Source organism: Homo sapiens, chromosome 7 (assembly GCF_000001405.40).
Source record: "Homo sapiens chromosome 7, GRCh38.p14 Primary Assembly".
In the NCBI taxonomy this organism is placed as follows: domain Eukaryota; kingdom Metazoa; phylum Chordata; class Mammalia; order Primates; family Hominidae; genus Homo; species Homo sapiens.
This window is the reverse complement of record NC_000007.14, coordinates 86861231-86881509: the sequence shown is the minus strand read 5'-3', so window position 1 is coordinate 86881509 and position 20279 is coordinate 86861231. Positions and strand designations below refer to the sequence as shown.

The 20279-nt window shown below is 36.3% G+C and overlaps 2 protein-coding genes across 13 annotated transcripts in view; one reads left to right on the top strand and one right to left on the bottom strand.

Annotated features, from left to right (window-relative positions):
- The window catches only part of ELAPOR2 (endosome-lysosome associated apoptosis and autophagy regulator family member 2), a 182749-nt gene extending 178145 nt beyond the window's left edge, over positions 1–4604 (top strand). For all 10 annotated transcript variants that reach the window (XM_011515918.3, XM_011515921.2, XM_017011843.2 and 7 more), the window contains one exon: positions 980–4604. In XM_011515918.3, coding sequence (XP_011514220.1) covers positions 980–1039 — 60 coding nt within the window. In that variant the 3' untranslated portion in view covers positions 1040–4604. The remainder of the gene's footprint in view (positions 1–979) is intronic.
- A 12026-nt stretch (positions 4605–16630) lies between these two features.
- GRM3 (glutamate metabotropic receptor 3) overlaps positions 16631–20279 on the bottom strand; it is a 220971-nt gene continuing 217322 nt past the window's right edge. For all 3 annotated transcript variants that reach the window (NM_000840.3, NM_001363522.2, XM_047420268.1), the window contains one exon: positions 16631–17228. In NM_000840.3, the coding sequence (NP_000831.2) occupies positions 17155–17228 (74 nt within the window). In that variant the 3' untranslated portion in view covers positions 16631–17154. The remainder of the gene's footprint in view (positions 17229–20279) is intronic.

Here is a 20279-nt window from a genome sequence, read left to right as displayed (position 1 = left end):
TGGCAGGTGTCTATAATCCCAGCTACTCAGGAGGGTGAGGCAGGATAATTGGTTGAACCCAGGAGGCAGAGGTTGCAGTGAGCCAAGATTGCACCATTGTACTCCAGCCTGGGCAACAAGAGCGAAACTCTGACTCAAAAAAAAAAAAAAAAGGGCGTGCTTGCTCGCATCTGAGGTCCCAGCTACTCGGGAGGCTGAGGTGGGAGGATTACTTGAGCCTGGGAGGCAGAGGTGACAGTGAGCTGAGATTACACCACTGTACTCCAGCTTAGGTGACAGAGAGAGACCCTGTCTCAAAAATACAATAAAAGGTTGGAAGAAATCCCATCTCCTCTTTCTCCTTTCCTCATTAAAGAAAACTAATTTATTTTAATAGTCTACATTTTGAATGTTTTATATAATGCCAGCAATGATACATTTGAGTGAAAATTTTGACCTATTATCAAAGATGACTTGTTTAATATCTTTAATAGGCATATACCTAAAAGATTTTCCTAAAACATATTAGTGAACTCAACTGATCTAATGTCTTGTTGGCATTCTCCTTATTTATTTCTGCTGTCCTTTTTCTTATTATTCTGCCTATATTATCCTGAAAATATTTAGTCAGTTCTGTTTTGCCCACAATTAGCATGGCTAGGTCATTGATTTCAGCACTCAGGTCAGGTATGTCCCCAGGAAGGGTCTCAGTGGTTTCTTTGCAGGGATCACAGCTATGTCTTTTGGTATCTATTGCAATCATGGGTTTGCTTCTATTTTGAATTTGTCTGTCTTATCTCTTGGACATCAAAAGTGCCCTTCAGGGTAGGCATGCTACTTGTTTTATATCTGCCACCCAATTTTAACTGTAAAATCCTAATCACAAGTGGCAACTAGATAGGTTAAAATGATTTCTGGAACTTTCCTTCTGGACATGTAAGATCCTAAAATCTTACGAGAATTTCAGTGAGTTGATTTTGTCTTTAATATTTTTTCTTAGGAAAAAGAAGACCATTTTGAATCTGTTCAACTGAAAACCTCAAGATCCCCAAATATATGAAGAGACAGTGCTGTAGCCTTGAGACTAATGAACAAAGAAACCTGCTCTAGTTTTACAGGACCATATTTTAGGGTCTGTCCTCATACCTGTCACATTGGTGATCTCACAGAGGAGGGCCATGCCGCTGAAAAGGGAAGGAGATTGAAACATTTGATTGCCTTATCACATGGTCAAGTACCTTGCCAAATAAAGGAAAGCAAATGATTTGGGTCTCAACTGAAGATGAAGCTCAACTCAGGAAGAGATTTATCTGTATATACACATAACTGAAAACCAAGTTTAAGCCCACCAATGCACTGCTGATGCATGCCATATAATTAATGGGTAACTTTTATTCTTTATGATGTCTACATAACAAGTGTGATTTGGAAGGCACATGTGAGCATATGCATTATGATCCAATTTATGTTTTTTCTTTGTTTATATTTTGGGGAAAATTAAAATTTTTTTAAGGTATATTTTTCCCATTATTTATTTTCCTGACCTTAAAACAGCTTTTCTACTAAAAAATGGTGAGCAATGAAGACAATAAATTTTTCATTTTTCCATAGGTTATCTTCTCTTGATTTAAATTTCAGGAAGAGTTAGCATGTGCTTGGGTTATCTAGATTTATAATTGCCTTTGAAATTCCATCCTCGTTGGAGCTGGTAAGAAGGGCTTGACTGAAAGTTTGAAGGAATCTAAAAAACAAAAAAGTAAGAAAGGTAACGAGAAGCCCTAATTCTCCATTAATGCAAACTAGCTGCTAGTATCATAGAAGTCAAATGACTTAAAACAGTTTATGTAGTGCTAGAAGTATAATTAAAGTAAATAGGAAAGCTTGTCAATCAAATCACTGGCAAAATCATGAAGAAGAGAGTGAGAAGGTTTGTCTATAAGTACAGATGACTGTATGAAATACTGGGGTAATTTCATGGTCTCCAGAAAATGTCAGTGGGACTTTTGTTCTTTGTCAAGCACCAGAGGTTATATGGTTATTTTTCTGCTGCAAGACTTTGAGGATGTTGACTTTCTCAGAAACTTTTTAAAAAAATAATCCAATAAGGCAGGAATTCAGTTTTGAAAAATTACATATAATTGTATTCATAATAAGAATGTGGTTATTTCATAAGCAGTTATGAAAGAATTATTGTTCTTATTCAAAAGTGATCCAGATAATTGTGATATTTTCTATGGTGGGCTACTGGTATTAGCACGACTTGGATATTATTTGTTGAAGGAAGTATGAATGAAGTTGGATTTGACCAATTTCGTGTAAACCTTAATTGATTTAAAACTGGGAAAGAGGGGGGTTTCCTGGCCATTGCTGATCTAAGGTGCTCTTATTTGTTTCCAATAAACAGTAATCTTTATAGACCTTAATGCAGATTTAAAAAAATAGTTGTGATTGGCTGAGAGAGGCAGGGCATATATGTAGGGAAATGATTTGCCCCAAGCATTCCAATGAAGTATGACTTGTAACTTTTGTGTCTGAAGGTGGTGTCTTTATTTTTGTGGAAAATGGGAGAAAAATGAATAATTGTGTTTATTTGGCTGATTGGTAATACACTAGACCATTCTGTTATTATTGAATGAATGTTTTGTGTATATCTCTGCTGTTGCACATATGAGTATAGGTGAGGTTGTCATTGTTTGCTCTGGGATTCAGGGAGGGAGTCACTTTGCATAAACCTTTTTTTGCATTTAATTTCTTGAATGTTCTTATAAAGAAGACATTATGTTGGCATTCTTCATTTTTATCCTGCCAACAGAGTGCTTATGAGCATGTCTGCATTTTGATCAAAATTTAAACAGAAGAGTGAAAATACATTTGAAATGAACCCTTTCAGAGGAACCCTGGCAAAGCTGTATAGACTGGACAGAGTGAGAAAACTTCCACAGCCACCTGTCACCTTTCTCCTCATCTTCCACTGTGTTCAATATGTATGTTCCAAGCCATAGAGATAATTGGGATTTTCTCCCAGGTAGCTTCTTTCTTCTCCTGTCACTGGACTAAAATCTCTGACATGTCAAAAATGCCTTAAATTTTAATGAACTCTCCGAAAATGTAGTTGATATTGGAGAATTTATTTTATTTCTAATTTTAGATATTAAATATATTTTGTCAGCACAGTCCCATCTTTGGGAAGGAGGTGATTTTTTCCCTTGGATTCCAGTGGTTTGTCATTTTATTTCAAGCACTGAAGAAGTATGACAGAAAGAATATTATGGGGAAAATATTTAGACCAATCCTGGCTATAAAATTTCCTTTAGTTTTATGCCTGGCCTTTGCAAAGCTCAGTGAAATGTTGAAAGGAATAAATTAATCATGTTTCTGTGACTTTTGATTGACACTTGTTCCTTTTCCCCCCTAAGTGGTAGAAGAAGTTATTTGTTATTTTTCTAAAAGGCACAATTTTGAAGCCTTAACTACTTCATTAAGTCAACTGTTGCCTATAACATCTCTTAGCACTCGTCAAAACGTATTTAAATCAATTTTCCAATGGATGAGAACATGTCTTCTGTGGATAAATTATATTATGTCATTTAACAACATTGAGCATTTTGATATGTGTTCACTGAATTAAAAAACCTGAATTTCATTATTGTTGACTTTTCCCCTCTTTAGTTACTAGTAATCACATCCTTTCTAGGATTAAAAATATTTCATAGTATTTTTGTGTAGATGTCTGTCCTTATTTTCTTCCCAAAGAAAAAAGGTTGTTTAAATTGATTATGTGGAAGAATTACTTGGGTCCAGTCTTTAGCATCTGGGGTCTCCAGGTCCCCAGGTGGGTCATGATTGACTGCTTCTTCAAGACCCATCTTGCCAACTCTCACTTGATGTCTGTCAATAGAACTACTTCCTGTGGCACATGGTTATTTCTAATGGGAGGCTAATGTGTACATAATTTCTCTCTTCCTCATAGAAATAAATTTCTCTGGGGGTTGCTGTGAGAGGATGACTTCATTAGCCATGTTTAAAGTGAGTGTACTGCTCACGTTTATCTTTGTACACTAAGAGTATGTAGAGTTGATCTTCAGAGAAACTAAACCTCCCTCATATCTATTTATAGTAATCATGAATATGATTGCAGTTGACAGGCCCAACTCCTAAACTGAGTTTGCCCAAAGAAAATGTCCTTAGAGGAGTAAACTTTTAGAAATCTCAACACCCGACTCATTCGTTGGAAGCTAAAATGGAATTCATCTTCATACTAACTGGCTACAGATTATTCTCTTGCTGGATTTTACTTTTATTTTAACATTTTTACATGAGTTCCTTTTAGAATCATAAATGAAAGAAGTAAAACTTTAAGATGGGAATGAATAATTGAAAAGAGAATTATATTTACTATTATAATTGATATTATTCGCTATTATGATTACACTTGTCTAGATCAGAGCCCAGCAAACATTTTTTTTGTAAAGGGTCAGATAGTACATAGTTTTGGCTTTGCAGGGCATGTGGGCTCTATTGCATTTACTCAACTCTGCCATTGTAGTATGAAAGCAACCACATACAAAATGTAAATGGATGGGCGTGGCTGCATTCCAATAAAACTTTATTTATGGACACTGAAATTTGAGTTTCAGTTAAATTTCATGTGTCATGAAATCTTTTGATGTCTTTCTAACTATTTAAAAATGTAAAAGCCTTCTTAGCTCTCAGGTCTTACAAAAACAGGTGATGGGCTAGGATTTGGCCTAATGGTTATAGTTTGTTGACCCCTGGTTTAGATCACTGTAATCTACCACAGACTATTCAGAAGAATCTGTTTGCACACAGGTTCTTTTCCCTTTAGAAGCTTAGCACCTAAAAAGTTTGTCAAGTCTTCAGAGTTGTTCAAAAAGAAAATAACTCATCACGTGCACTTGATGATTTAATCACTTACCCAATACAAAGCCAGATACTCTCCTGAGTTGCAAAGGATAAAATTAAAGCCAGTGAATTGGTTAAAAGTAAATTAGCAAGATTTATTTAAAAGCCTTTTCTCATTGGGGTTTAGATAATATTCATTGGTAAAGTAACTGAATTTGGAGATACTCAGTCTTAAATGCAGATTCATTTAAAGTAACCATATGGAAGTATGGAATGTTGATGCATGAAAGTAGCTTCAGCATAGGTTTTCCAGCCCCAGCACTGAATACAGTCTCTTTGTTTGCATTTGTTTAGTCAGGGCACACCTCAATCCTTATACATTTGCCAACAATCCTATTTTAAGACTGATTAAGCTGCAAAAGACACTTAGAATTCCTTTAGTGACTGGTGCTTCAAGAAACAGATCAATTTCCTTGAACAAATGGTCCCAGTAAGGCTTTTAATTTGCTGAAGTTTTCTTCATCTTATTAATGATGCGTGTGGATATTGGTAAATTTGGCTTAGAGGGGCAATATTTATCTTAGATGACTGATTTCAGATTACCTTTGATTGCTTTTCAAACAAAAGCATTAAACCAGTGGGAATTATGCAGATGTAAACCTATCACAGAGCAGGAGTGATAATTGCCTTGTTCATAGGCTTTGCCTTTGTAGAGCTGTGGTTATAATCCATGCTGGTGTTCCATCTTCCTGGCACCTCACTTTGCTTGGCTTCTCCATGCTCACAGCGCTTGACTAAAGAGCTCTGGGGCCCAAAGCTATCATGGTGGGTGGGTGAATAAAGCGAGGATTGCTGAGAGAAAGCGCAGAACCAAAGACTGTGAAGGTACACTGGCTAAATTACCTCCTTTCTCAACCACTCTCTTAATCTCTCCTATTTGTGGTCTACAAGCCAGCTGGCCTCGCAGTTTAAAAATAGGAACCATTTTATTTTACCGTGATAAACATGAGCAGGCTGGAAAATCTAATATTTAAACTGGACAGGAAAATGGAGCACCTCAGAAGCTGTAAATACTCAAAAATACCATAGAAAATCAAGCATGTAGTAAGGTTTTGATCTTTTTTAAGTTTCTTGTTAACTTACAAAAAACAATTGCATATAGTTATGGGGTACAATGTGATGTTTTGATACATGTATACATTTTGGAATGATCAAAGCAGGCCAATTAGTTTACCCATCACCTCAAATGTTTATCATTTTTGGTGGTGAGAATCATTAAAATCTCTTTTACCCATTTTGAAATATACAATACGTTATTATTAACTATACTGTAGTCACCGTTCTGTGCAATAGAACATCAGAACTTCTATCTAACTGAAACTTTCTACTTGTTGACCAATTTCTCTCCTTTCTGGTTCACCCCCACTCTAGCCTGTGGGGACAACCATTCTACTCCCTGCCTCTATAAGTTTGACTATTTTAGATTTCACATATAAGTGAAATCTATGGTATTTGTCTCTTTTTGCTTGCCTTATTTCACTTAACATAATGTTGTAGGTGTATCCATGTCACAAATGATAGAATTTTCCGTTTTTTAAAACAGGCTGAATAGTATTTCATTTGTGTGTGTGTGTGTGTGTGTGTGTGTGCATATGTATCACATTTTAAAAATCCATTTATCCATTGATGGGCACTTAGGTTGTTTACATATTGTGGCTATTGTGAATAGTGCTGCAATAAACATGGAAATGCAAATATCTCTTTGACATACTGATTTCATTTCCTTTGGGCATATACCCAGTGTGGGACTGCTGGATTATACGGTAATTCTAATTTTCATTTTTTGAGGACCCTCCATACTGTTTTGCAAAATGGCTATACTAATTTACAGTACTACCAAAGTTCCCCTTTTCTTCACATCCTTACCAACACTTCTCTTTCATCTTTTTGCTAGTAGCCAAGCCAACAGGTGTGAGGTGATATTTCATTGTGATTTTAATTTACATTTCTCTTATAATTTGAGATATTGAGTATATTGTCCATTTGTATGTCTTCTTTTGAGAAATGTCTATTCAAATCCTTTGTCCATTCTGTAATAGAGTTATTTTCTTCTTGAGTAGTTTGAATTGCTTGCATATTTTGGATGTTAACCTCTATTCAATGAATAATTTGCAAATATTTGCTTCTAATCTGTGGTTTATCTCTTCACTGTATTAATTGTTACCTTTGCTGTGGAGAAGCTTTTAATTTGATGCAATACAATTTGTCTATTTTTACTTTCATTGCCTATATTTTTGGGATTATGTCCAAGAAATCACTGCTCAGACCAGTGTCAAGGAGCTTTCCCGTCATGCTTTCTTCTAGTAGTTTTACAGTTTCAGGTCTTAAATTTATGTTTTTTATCTATTTTAAGTTGATTCTTGTATAAGAGGTGAGATAAGAACCTAATTTCATTTTTCTGCATGTGGATATCCAGGTTTCCCTACACCATTTATTGAAGAGACTGTCCTTTCTTCATGGTGTGTTATTGGCACTTCTGTTGAAAAGTAAAAGACTGGAGGTGTGTGATCTTATTTCTGTTAATAGTCTCTCTATATTAATCCATTGGTTGATGTGCCTGTTTTTATGCCAATACCATGCCATTTTGATTACTATAGCTTTGTGCTATATTTTGAAATCGTGTAGAGTGATTACTCCAACTTTGTTCTTTTTGGTCAAGATTTCTGTGGATATTCAGTCTTTTGTGGTTTCATACAAATTTTAGAATTGTTTTTTACTATTTCTGTGAAGAATGACATTGGAATTTTAGTGGGGATTGCATCAAATCTGTAAATCACATTGGATAGTATGAACATTTTAACAATATTTTTACAATCCTTGAACACAGAATATCTTTCCATTTATTTGTGCCATCCTCAATTTTTTTCATCAATGTTCTATAGTTTTTCAGTATGAACATCCTTTACTTCTTTGGCTAAATTTACTCCTAAGTATTTCACATTTTTCATGCTATTGTAAATAGAATTGTTTTCTTAATTTCTTTTTTAGATAATTCATTATTAGTATATAGAAACACTACTGATTTTCGTAAGTTGATTTTGTATCCTGCAACTTCACTGAATTCATTTATCAGTTCTAACAGTTTTTTTTGGTGGAGTCTTTAGGATTTTCTATATGTAAGGTCATTTCGTCTGCAAATAGAGATACTTTCACTTCATCCTTTCCTGTTTAGATGCCTTTTCTTTCTTTTGCATAATTGCTCTGACTAGCATTTTCCAGTACTATGTTGAACAGAAGTGTTGAGAGTGGGCATCTTTGTCTTTTTCCTCATCACAAAGAAAAAGCCTTTTACTTTTTCATTGTTGAGTATGATGTTAGCTGTGAGCTTGTCATACATGGCTTTTATTGTGTTGAGGAACATTTTTTAAATCTCTAATTTTTTTCCAGCATCTGTTGAGATGATCATATGGTTTTTGTCCTTTATTCTGTTAATATAGTGAATCACATTTATTGATTTGCATACTTTAAGCCAGTCTTGCATTCCAGGGATAAATTCTACTTGATCATAGTGAAATATCTTTTTAATATATTGTCGAATATAGTTTGCTAGTATTTTGTTGAGTATTTTTGCATCTGTGTTCATCAGTCATATTGGCCTGTAGTTTTTTTTTTGTAGTGTCCTTCTCCAGCTTTAGTATTAGGATAATGCTGGCTTTATAGTATAGAGTTTGGAAATATTCCCTCTTGTTCTGTTTTCTTGTAAGAGTTTGAGAAAGAACTCAAACTTAATTCTTTAAATGTTTGATAGAATATAGTTGTGAAACCATCTGGTTCTGGACTTTGATGATAGATTTTAAATTACTGGTTCAATCTCTTTACTCATTATTGGTCTGTTTGGATTTCATATTTCTTTGTGATATAGTCTCAGAAGGTTATATATTTCCAGGAATTTATTCATTTCTTCTAGATTGTTCTATTTGTTCATGTCTAATTGTTCATAGTAGCCTCTTAAGATCAGTTGTATTCTGTGTTACCAGTTTTAAGGTTTCCTCTTTTATTTCTGATTTTATTTATTTGAGTCTTATCTATTTTTTCTTAGCCTAAGTAAGGGTTTGTCCGTTTTGTTTAGCTTTCCTAAATTTTTTCTACTGTTTTTCTAGTCTCTGTTTCATTTATTTCTTCTCGATGTTTGTTATTGTCTTCCTTCTGCTAACTTTGGGCTTAGGGCTTTTTTTGTTTTGTTTTGTTTTGTTTTGTTTTTAAGTTCCTTGAAGTGTAACATGGTTGTTTATTTGAGATCTTTTTTCTTTTTTGATATAGGTGTTCATTGTTACAAAATTCCCTCTTAGAACTGCTTTTGCTGCATCCCTTATGTTTTGGTATATTGTGTTTCCATATTTGTTTGTCTCAAGTTATATTTTTATTTCTTTACTATTATTATTTTTGAGATAGAGTCTCACTCTGTCATCCAGGCTGGAGTACAGTGGTGCAGTCTCCGCTCACTACAACCCCACCCCCTGGGCTCAAGCGATCCTTCCACTTCAGCCTCCCACGTAGCTGGGACCACAGATGCACACCATCACACCCAGCTGTTTTTGTATTTTTTGTAGACGTGGGGTTTCACCACATTGCCCAGGCTGGTCTTGAACTCCTGAGCTCAAGCTATCTGCCTGCCTCGGCCTCCCAAAGTGCTAGGATTACAGGCATGAGCCACTGCATTTGTCCTCAAGGTATTTTTTAATTTCCCTTTTAAATGCTTCTTTGACCCAATAATTGTTCAGGAGCATATTGTTTAATTTCCACATATTTGTTACATTTCTGTGATTCTTCCTGTTATTGATTGTTAGCTCCATACTATTTTGGTCAGAAAAGATACTTGAAGTATCTTTTGTCAAGACACGTTTTTTGGCCTAATATATAATCTAGCCTAGAATATGACCCGTAAGATCAGTGTTCCATGTGCACTTGGTAAGAATGTATGTTCTGTTGCTGTTGGATGAAGTGTTCTGTATATGTCTTTCAGTCCATTTGGTCTAAAGTGTAGTTCAAGTCCAATGTTTCCTTATTGATTTTCTTTTTGGATTACCTGTTTGATGTTGAAAGTGTGGTATTGACATCTCCTACTATTATTGTGTTGCAATCTATGTCTCCCTTTAGATCTCTTAATGCTTGCTTTATATATATATATATAAGTATATATATATAAAAATATATATATACTTATATATATATAAATATATATACAAGTATATATATAAATATATATATAAGTATATATATATAAAAATATATATATATATTTAGGTGCTCTGATGTTGGGTGCATATATAATTGTTATATCCTCTTGATGAATTTACACCTTCATCAATATATAATGACCTTCTTTTTCTCTTTTTCCAATTTTTAACCTAAAGTTCATTTTGTCTGAAATAAGTATAGCTACCACTGCTCTCTTTTTGTTTCCATTTATTTGGAATATCTTTTTCCATTCCTTCATTTTCAATTTATGAGTATTCTTTTAAGGTGAAGTGAATTTCTTGTGGGCAGCATATACTTGGGTCTTATTTTTTTTTTTAATCCATTCAGCCACTCTATGCCTTTTTATTGGAGAATTTAATCCATTTCCATTCAAAGTAATTACTGATAGATAACAACTTACTAGTACCATTTTGTTCATTGTTTTGTAGGTTCTTTGTTCCTTTCATCCTCTATTACTTTATTCCCTTGTGATTTGAGGACTTTTATAATGGTATGCTTTGGATCCTTTCTTTTGGCTTCGTTTATCTATTAGAGACTTTTGCTTTGTGGTTACCCTGAGGATTTTATAAAACATCTTATAATGGTGCATTTTAAGCTGATAATGTATAAATTTGATTGTATACACTTTTACTTCCCCTTCTACCAACTTTTATGCTTTTGATATCATAAATTGCATTTTTAAAAAGTTTTTATCTTTAAAAAATTATTGTGGCTTTAGTTATTTTTAATAGTTTTGCCTTTTAATTTTTATACTAGAGATATAATTGTTTACCCACCATTATTACAGTATTAGAGGGTTTTGAATTTTACAATGGACGTATCTTTACCAATGAGTTTTATACTTTCATATTTTTTCATGTTACTAATTAACATCTTCTTCCTTCACCTGGGAGAACTCCTATTAGCATTTCTTGTAAGGCAGCTCTAATGGTGAGAAACTCTTAGCTTTTGTTTGTCTTAGAAAGTCTTTATCACCCTGTCATTTTTGAAAGATAAGATTGCTGAGTAGCGTATTTTTGAAATTTTTTTCCTGCATTTTGAATATCATTCTACTCTCTTCTAGTCTGCAAGATTTGTGCTAAAAAAAAAATCCCCTGATAATCTGGAGGAGTTTCCCTTGTATGTAACAATTCTCTTTTCCTTTGCTGCTTTCAGCACTCTGTTTTTGTCTTTAACTTTTATTTTATTTTCAATTTTTGTGGGTACATAGTAGATATATATATATATTTATGGGGTATATGAGATGTTTTGATACAGGCATGAAATGTAAAATAAGCACATCATGGAGAATGGGGGTATCCATCCCCTCAAGCATTTATCCTTTTAGTCACAAATAATCCAATTATACTTTTTAAGTTATTTTAAAATATATTGTGTTCAACTTTTGATTATAATGTGTCTCAGTGTGGGTTTCTTTGGATTAGTTTATTTGGTATCCTTTGGACTTACTGGATCTATATTTCTATTTGTTGTCCCAGGCTTGGGAAGTTTTCTTCCATTATTTCTTTGAATATGTTTTCTTTCCCTTTTTCTGTCTCTTCTCCTTTGGGTGCACCAATAATCTGCATGTTCTTACACTTGATGGTGTCCCCATAGTCTCTTAACCTATCTTCACTCTTTTTCATTTTTTTTTTCTTTTTGCTCCTCAGATTGTGCAAGTTCTCGCTGATCCTTTCTTCTGCTTGATCTATTTTGCTATTGAATCCCTCTATTGAATTTTTTCAATTCAGCTGTAGTATTCCTCAGCTCTGCTGATTTCTGTTTGGTAATTTTTAATATTTTCTGTTTGTTGAAATTCTCAGTTTGTTCTTGCATTGTTCTCCTGTCATCAATGAGCATCTTTATGACCATTATTTTGAATTCTCTCTGTGGGTAAATCACATACGTCCACTTCACTTGGGTCAGTTTCAGATGTATCTTGTTTTTTTATTTAGGATATGTTCACCTTTACTTTGTTTTCTTGACCCTCTGTGTTGGTATCTGCACATGAGATAAAACAACTACCTCTCCAAGTCGTGTCAGATTGGCTTCTTGTAGAAGTACCTCACCAGTCCATCTAGCCAGAGATATTAAGTTACCTCTCAAATCTATGCGTCTGTCCAGACTGCTATCGGTGTTTTTGGTGGCCCCTGGAGCTTAGGATATGTCATATCCTGTCAGTACTCTGAGACAAGTAAGTTAGAATCCAGACTCCCTAGATGTACCTGGAAAGGTTAGGGTGTTGAATTTGAATATATGTTCTAGTTTTTTCTCTCTTCACTGTGAAGCTGGGCATGGATATTTATCTCCCACTCTTTCTGCAGTAAGCCAGGGAGAGGATCTGTGGCAAATGCTTGAACTCATATTCAGGCTGCACTCTCTGATTCTGGGGAGATAGCTGCTGAAAGTAGGCCCATTGTATATTGACCATTTTCTTTTCTGTGGTCTAGGACCACTCATAAATGCAAAGCCCCATTGGCTCCTAGAGCTGGATCATTAAGGAGACAGTCACTTGAGTGGGATATAGAAGTTGTGGCACTTGGTGCATGACCAAACTCCTTCCAAGAAGAATGAGTAGACCTGGATTTATTATTGGGTGAGCTAGAGGAAAGGCATATGAAGTTTCAGGCTTTGGCTCTGGTTGTTGCTGAGGGCTACTCTGTTTTTTTTTTTTCCCTGTTAACTCCCCAGTGCAAGTTCATTAGAAGCCAGGCCATTAAGTAGCCACTGTCACTGTGTGCCATAAGCCCCTTCTGAAGAGGAAATGGAAGCTGCATGTTCTCACTCTTTTCTGCATTGCTCCAAGGAGATGTAGCCCCTGGAAGTATTTGCATGCTCACTTAAAAACACCTCTTTATTCTGTGATCTATGGAATCTTGAATATGCCTAGTCCCCTTTTTTCCATAGCTAAGAGGTTTAGAATGGAATCCTTTGGGTGGTAGCTGTAAAAGCTGGGGCACTCAGTGAAAGGCATAAACCCCTTCCAGGAAGAAACAAAGAGCTGCCTGCTTAGAGCCCCTTCTCTGCATTGCTTCTAGGGAATGAAGCCCCTGTAAGTGCTTACACATGTATATAAAATTGCCAGTTTTTTCTTTGGTCTAGGTAGACTCACATATACTTAGTACCCTCTGCTCCCAGAGGTAGGATGTTTAGGATGCAGTACCTTGGATAGAAGCTGGGACACTCAATGCATGGACAAGCTCCTTCCAGGAAAAATTAATAGAACTGGAGTTATCACTGTGGTGAACTTGGAGAGAAGACTCCAGAAGAGCCAATCTGCTTCTCAGGCTGGTGGTGGGTTAATATTTATCTGCCTCCTTAACTCCCTGATGCAAGTTAGTTGGAAGCCAGGCTGCCAAGTAGCCACTGGAAAAGTATGCTCTAAACTCCTTCTTGAGAGAAACAGGGCTGAGTTTAGCCCCTTCTCTGCACTGCTCCTGTGGGACCAAGGCTCTGGAAATGTTTGCATACTTGTATAAAACACTGCCTTTTTCCTCTGGTCCACAGAAACATATATGCCAGTCCCCTCTGCTCCCAGAGCTGGAAGGTTTAGGATGTAGTCCCTTGGGTGAAAGCTGTAAAAGTTGGGGTGCTCGGTGTGTGAACAAATTCCTTCCAGGATAGATTAATAGACCTGGAGTTATTGCTGGTGTGAACTGAGGGGAAACCTTAAGAAATGCTGATCTGCTTCTCAGACTGCCAGTGCGTTATTTGTTCTTTAACTCCCTGAAGCAAGTTAGTTACAAGTCAGGCTGCCAATTAAACACTGGGAGAATGTGTCCCTTCCAGGGAGACAAAGGGCTACATTTTTTAAGCCTTTTTCTGCACCTCTCCTGGGGCATGAAGCCATTGGAAGTGCTTGCCTGCTTGCGTAACACTGATGCTTTTTCACTGTGGTCTAGCGAGACTTTTATGTCTAATCCCTTCTGCTCCCAGAATTGGTGAATTAAGTGTCAAGCCAAGGGAATTCTTAGAGTTAGGGTGTTATATGTGGGTCCAAATCCTCCTCTCCACAGGGAGAAGCTGGGTGTTGGGGATTCCGTTCAAGATTTTATGGCTCAGTGCCTGGGGAGACTCTGTGTCTGAGTGTGCCTACTTGTTTGATGTGGGTGTTTTCTCAGTTGCCTGGTGGGTAGGAGTCTCTCAACTGGTATCTAACTTTCTCTCAGAGGGAATTGATCTGTGAATAGATGCTTTTTTTTTTTTTTTTTTTTTTGTAGATTCGTGGGTAGAGGGAGAAGCAGGAGCTTCCTATTCTGCCATATTCCTGATGTCACCTTGATATTTTTTTTAATGAGTGGGATATATCATTTTGCTTGGCTTTCTTAAATTCAGGAAGTTTTTTGCAATGATGGACTGGCTCAACCAGTTTCATATTGTGAACTGATGAAATGTTACTGGAGCAAAAAATCAACCAAAAACTTATTTGCTTGAAATAGCTTATGTAAAAGATTTTGTAGCTGCTATTTTTCATACATATGTTGAATATTTTAAAAAATATTTCCAAAGATCACATGTTAGATGATGCACTTCCAATTGGAAACAAAGCTTGTGGCAAGGAAAAAGAAAATGACAAGAGCTGTCAGTTAATGCATGAAATTATATCTTCAGGGCATGAAATACAGTGGGCATAGATCAAAACCCAGCCCTCTCAAAAACACAGTTTTCTGAAGATTTATATACACGCCTAATTGTCTTGTTTGAAAAGATACATAATCAGTTTGATTGTTTGAGGCATCAGCCATGTCTCTGCACAACCCATCTGATATTGCCTTCTTCAGACTGTCACATTCCATCAGAGGACTGAGTTTATCTCCCATCAGCCTTGCCTCAGCCTTTATCCTGAGCAATGCTCATTCTTAACACACTTATCTAGCACTCCTGCCAGTTTCAGTCACAGCAGAATTCATTTTTGTCATTTAGTGCTGTTGAATCTATTATCCAATCTAAGCTCCCCTCCCCAGATTACAGGTTCTTATTTGAATATGGGAATTAGACACTGGTGAACACTATTGTCTTTGAGCATCTGGTGAGTTTTGGATTGCTTGATTAGGTTGCTGATTCAAATGCATCCAGAAGAAAAAGAAGAATTTCTAACATCTGACTCTTTTATTTCCTCCAAAGCCAGTCCTGTTGGCTTTTTGTGTACCTGTTACTTATTTTCAGGCATTTTAAAATAGTATAATTGTGTTTGATTATTCAGGCCTTGACTGTTTAGCCTGTGGATACTTCATATCCTGATTCTCCTCATCTTTCCTCTCACTGTCTTCCTTGTGTCACAAACATCCTCTCATCATAATATTTTCCAGTCTTTAAGCTTCTTAGAGGCAGGCACTACAACTTATTCATTCTTTTTTCTGTTGTGGGATAAAAAGTGGCCCCTAAAATGATATGTCCACATCTTAATCCCTGGAACTTGAGAATGTTAATTTATTTGAAAAAAGGGCCGTGCCTTTTTTCATCTCCCGAGATGAACTCATCCTATAGTATCTACCTAGATTGGCCCTAAATCAAATAACTAGTGTCCTTGTAAGAGACACAGAGGACAAAACTGACACAGAGGAGAAGGTGATGTGAAGATGGAGGCAGGGATTGGAGTGATGTGGCCACAAGCCAAGGAAGCTGGCAACCACCAGAAGCTAGAAGAGGCATGGAATGAATCCTCCACTAGAGCTTCTGAGAGAGTGTGGCCCTGCTGATGCTGACACTTTTCTTTCAGACTTTCAGCCTCCATAACTGTGCAAGAATAAATTTCTATTGTTTTAAGACACCCAGTTTGTGCTAATTCCTTATACCAGCCATAGGAAACTAAAGCACTCCCTAGCCATGGCCCCTGGCACAGGATCTGACACATATATTCTCAGCAAATTTTCCTACATTCATAAATGATTTGTGAGTAAAAGGTTGATAAAAATAGGACAGTATTTAGTAAGAATAAGCCAGTTTTAGCTTATCCATGCTTTCCCTGTTCACTCCCTTATGTAGGTTAATAAAATATTAAAGTTTAGTGACAAGCCGATGTGCCTGAGCATGGCTACTGAAAAAAAAAATTAGAAAACAAGATATCCTGCATTTTATTGCCTCATTCAGCAGTGAATGGTGAGAGTGATTTTCTAGTGGAATAAGGAGATATTCTGCCAATTTCGTAGTAATTAAGGTTGTTTTTGGAAATGAGAGCCATCAAATCTTCCCTGGCAGCCACAGTCTCTATATTCTGAACATAGCAACTCTCTCATTGTCTTATATCTCTATCTGGGCAATTCTCGGCTTCCCCCCAGATGTGGCTTTAGAAAACCAAAATGTGTATTGTCACTGAAATGGTCTGATATATATGGTGTTGCTACCAGTCAATTTCTGATCATTGTGGACCATAGAGAAGTCTGAACCTGCTCACAACTCTTCAGCAGAGTAACAACTTGAGTTTGAAGTATGTATAGATGGGAACAGAAGCACAGTCAGACAGTTTCTTCTAATATTAAATGTAGAAATGATTTGAAGTCATATTCAAATTACCTTGAGTTATTCAAAAAGAACAAACCATTATCCACCATGCTGGAAAACCTTGAAGGTTTTATTCTCAGTATCTTTACATTAATACAGATGCTTTTTATTTTGTGCTGAGAAAATCAATCTGTTACACATAATGTAACTTTAATATACAACATAGAAACTCATCCTAAATTAGTTACAACAAGGACCTACAAAAAACTTCATAGGAAAAAAGGTTACATAATATTGCCACCGTATTTTTATTTTTTTCTTTTGTTTTTTTTTTTTTGTTTTTTTTTTTTGTTTTTTAGTAGACTGACCATGTCAGACCCTGTCACCAATGCTCAGCTCTGTAAACAATGGTTATTTCCATGTTCTGGGGGAATTGTTAATAATAGGGGCACTAGACTCAGCCTAGAAAGTTCTAGCACATCACTATATACAGTCCTCAAAAATAATTTATCGTACTGTTTCTAAAAAAAGGTACTAGGGTTGTTCTTTTGCTCTGTTTCCATATTCTGGAGCTGCACGTGAGCACTTTTGTCTAACAGTCTAAAAACACAAGAACTGAACTGCAATTCACAATCACAGAGATGAGGTGGTGGAGTCGAGGACTTCCCGCCCATTGCACACCGTTGGCACATACGTGCTTGCAGAGGCTGGAAAACAAAGTGGGACAGAAAACTCAAAGTTAGTCAAGTGGGACACAAAGGTAATAGCATGAAGGATACAATGGACTTTGGGGACTCGGGGGGAAGGGTGGGAAGGAGGTGAGGGATAAAAGACTACAAATTGGAGTTCAGTGTATACTACCCAGGTGATGGGTGCACCAAAATCTCACACATCACCACTAAAGAACTTACTCATGTAACCAAATACCATCTATTCCCCAAAAACCCATGGAAATAAAAAATGTGAAAAAAAATAAAATTAAATTAAAAACTCATTTTAATTTGGCTTTGGAAAGTGCTAAATGGTTAAAATGCTATTGTAGGTCAATTTCTAAATATGTTCTGCTCCAAATTAGTTTGCAACCTGGAACATACCTCCACTAACGTTATACCTCTTGGCGGGGAATTTGTAAGTATAATCATTGTTGAAGGAAGTCACTTGTGGGTTGAAAATTAGCTTTGGTAATCTATAAACTGGTTTAAATACAATGTGCAAAATCAAAAGCTCACTGCAATTTTTATAGGTTACTAAATTATTTACTGTTTTCAGTACCTTAATTAGTTTTGTTCTGTCTATACAGGGATGAGCCTTATATAGTCCGTGAGTCATCTGTGAACTCCACTGCCTTAGAGACTGGTTTGATATATTTTCATTGTTCAAGTGGATAACCTCAGTAAAAACACTAGTAAGGGCTGGGTTGCTAAGAGCTTCAGTTTCATAACGGGTCTCAGAAAAGATATTCCAAAGGGATGGTGCCCTTGTTAATGACAAATAGTGACAACAGTGTTATGGTGTGGCCCTGCTGATGCTTTCCTTTCAGACTTTCAGCCTCCATAACTGAGAGAGAATAAATTTCTATTGTTTTAAGACACCCAGTTTGTGCTAATTCCTCACACCAGTCATAGGAAACTAAAGTACTCCCTAGCCATATTATATAGTATGGATATATATACTCATTCTTTTTATGGCACTCAGTTTTCCTAGATACAGTTCTTAGCTATTAACTTGTTGTTGGTAAAGTTTTATTTCATGAGAAATCTAGGTACAGATAAGTTATATATATTTCACCCTTAATGCTTTTTCTTTTCACTGAATGAGAACAAAAGCAAGGAGCCCCATTCTCTATGGACTGAAACCATGTAGCCGAGAGAATCGGTTAAAGAGATGGTGTTCCATTACATTTAAGATCTCTCTCATACAACCCCTTGGCCTGTCTATTTGTATATACTCTGACCAGTAGGAGCTGATCCTCTGGGGTACTTGATCACAGCCCAGATCAAATTGACCAGCCATCTGTCCCATTCTTTAAGAGCATATCTCAAAGTTAACCTGCAGATAAACTGGCTTCATGTTTAAATGTCCATGCTTGATAGTGGATATATAATTGACCCCTACATTTTCATTTTACCTAGGCAAAATTCCTATTAATTTCCTTAAACAGGAGCAACTATTTATGAAATGTGAGATTATATGGCATTCAGTGGGGGAGCATTCACTATACTTGGGGCACTGAAGTCTATCAGCAGGTCCACCACTAGGGAATCTACAGCCCCTCAATTTTACATTGATTGCTTGGCTAGGTATGTAAGAAAAATCTATGAAGTCAAGTTTGTGTGGCTACCTCAAGTTACACTGGAGTCATGCAACATGCTAACTCTTTTGGAGATTTTTTTCTTCTTCTTATTAGGATCAGGTTCAATTTTCTTTACAATACGAGCCCATTAAAAGCTATAATATCTCTGAGGGCAGGTACGGTGTCATATGCATTTCCTGAAACTGCTACAATGAAGAAATTGGTAACACAGTATGTGCCAGATAAATACTTGATGGAAAGTGGTCATAATCATAATTCCAAATGTGAGGGCTTTATTATTTATAAATACTTTAATTAGAAAAATTATTTCCATATATTGTACCTAATTCCAGCTTCATCAAATGTAGGTAAGGTAAGAGAAAGGGAAAGGCAAAGTGAGATTCAAAATGGGTTACTGGAAACCTAGGAGAGCACTCTAGGTCATTCAATATGTGCTTTTTCTGCAGCCTTTTGTATCCAACTGCCTACTTGACATCTTTGTGTGTACGTTTAAAAGCCACTTCAAAATCAGTGGCCATAGCTGAACTCTTGATTCCCTAACCTGCCTCCATTTAGCTTTCCTTTCCTCAGTGAATGGTTTTGCCATCTGGCCAATTGCCCAAACCAAAAATCTAAAATGTATGTTTCATTCCTTTTTGTTTCGACCCTGCCCCATGTCAAACCTATCATCAGTTTCACTCACCTCTAGATTTACGTCTAACCAGTTCTCTTTGCATCTACCACCCTGGGGCAACCCACCATGATGTTTCTCCTGATCATTGCAAGAGCTGCACCACTGGCCTGTCTGTTTCCACTCTTGCTTTTTTGTTGCAATATATTCTCTATACAGCAGTGAGAGTATTTTAAAATACAAGTCACCTACATATGCACTTCCAGTGGCTTCCCTGTGTGCTCTAACTCTTTATTCTGGCTTATAAATCCCATCGTAATTTGGACCATGTCCCCCTTTTTGTGTTCACCTCATTCCAATTTTTTTTTCCTTCTTTTTGCTTTTGTTCTCAAATACAGCAAATCTGTTTCTCAACTTTCTGCCTTTGCAGTAGCCTTTGCCTCTCTAGGAATGTTCTTCCCTCTGATCTACTCATGTCTGGCTCCTCCTTGTCATCCACATCTGAAATGTTACCTCAAAGAGGTAGTCATCAGGCCACTTAATTTAAAATAATAGCCAATCAGTTACTGTCACATCACCCAGTTTTGAAACTCAGCCTAGCCCAGTTGTTGCTGCCTTTTTTCTTGCTTATTATTATTTTTGGTGTAGCATCCTATACCCTTGACTAGAAAATATGCAGGGGTTTTACTTATCTGTTTCATTATTTTATCCCTAGTGCTGGTCATGGAATAGACTGTCTATAAATATTTCCTGAATTATCATATAAATGTTTGCATTTCAAAGAATCAGGAAACCAATGGAAGTTTCAAGAAGGAAATAATCTTTTAAACTAAA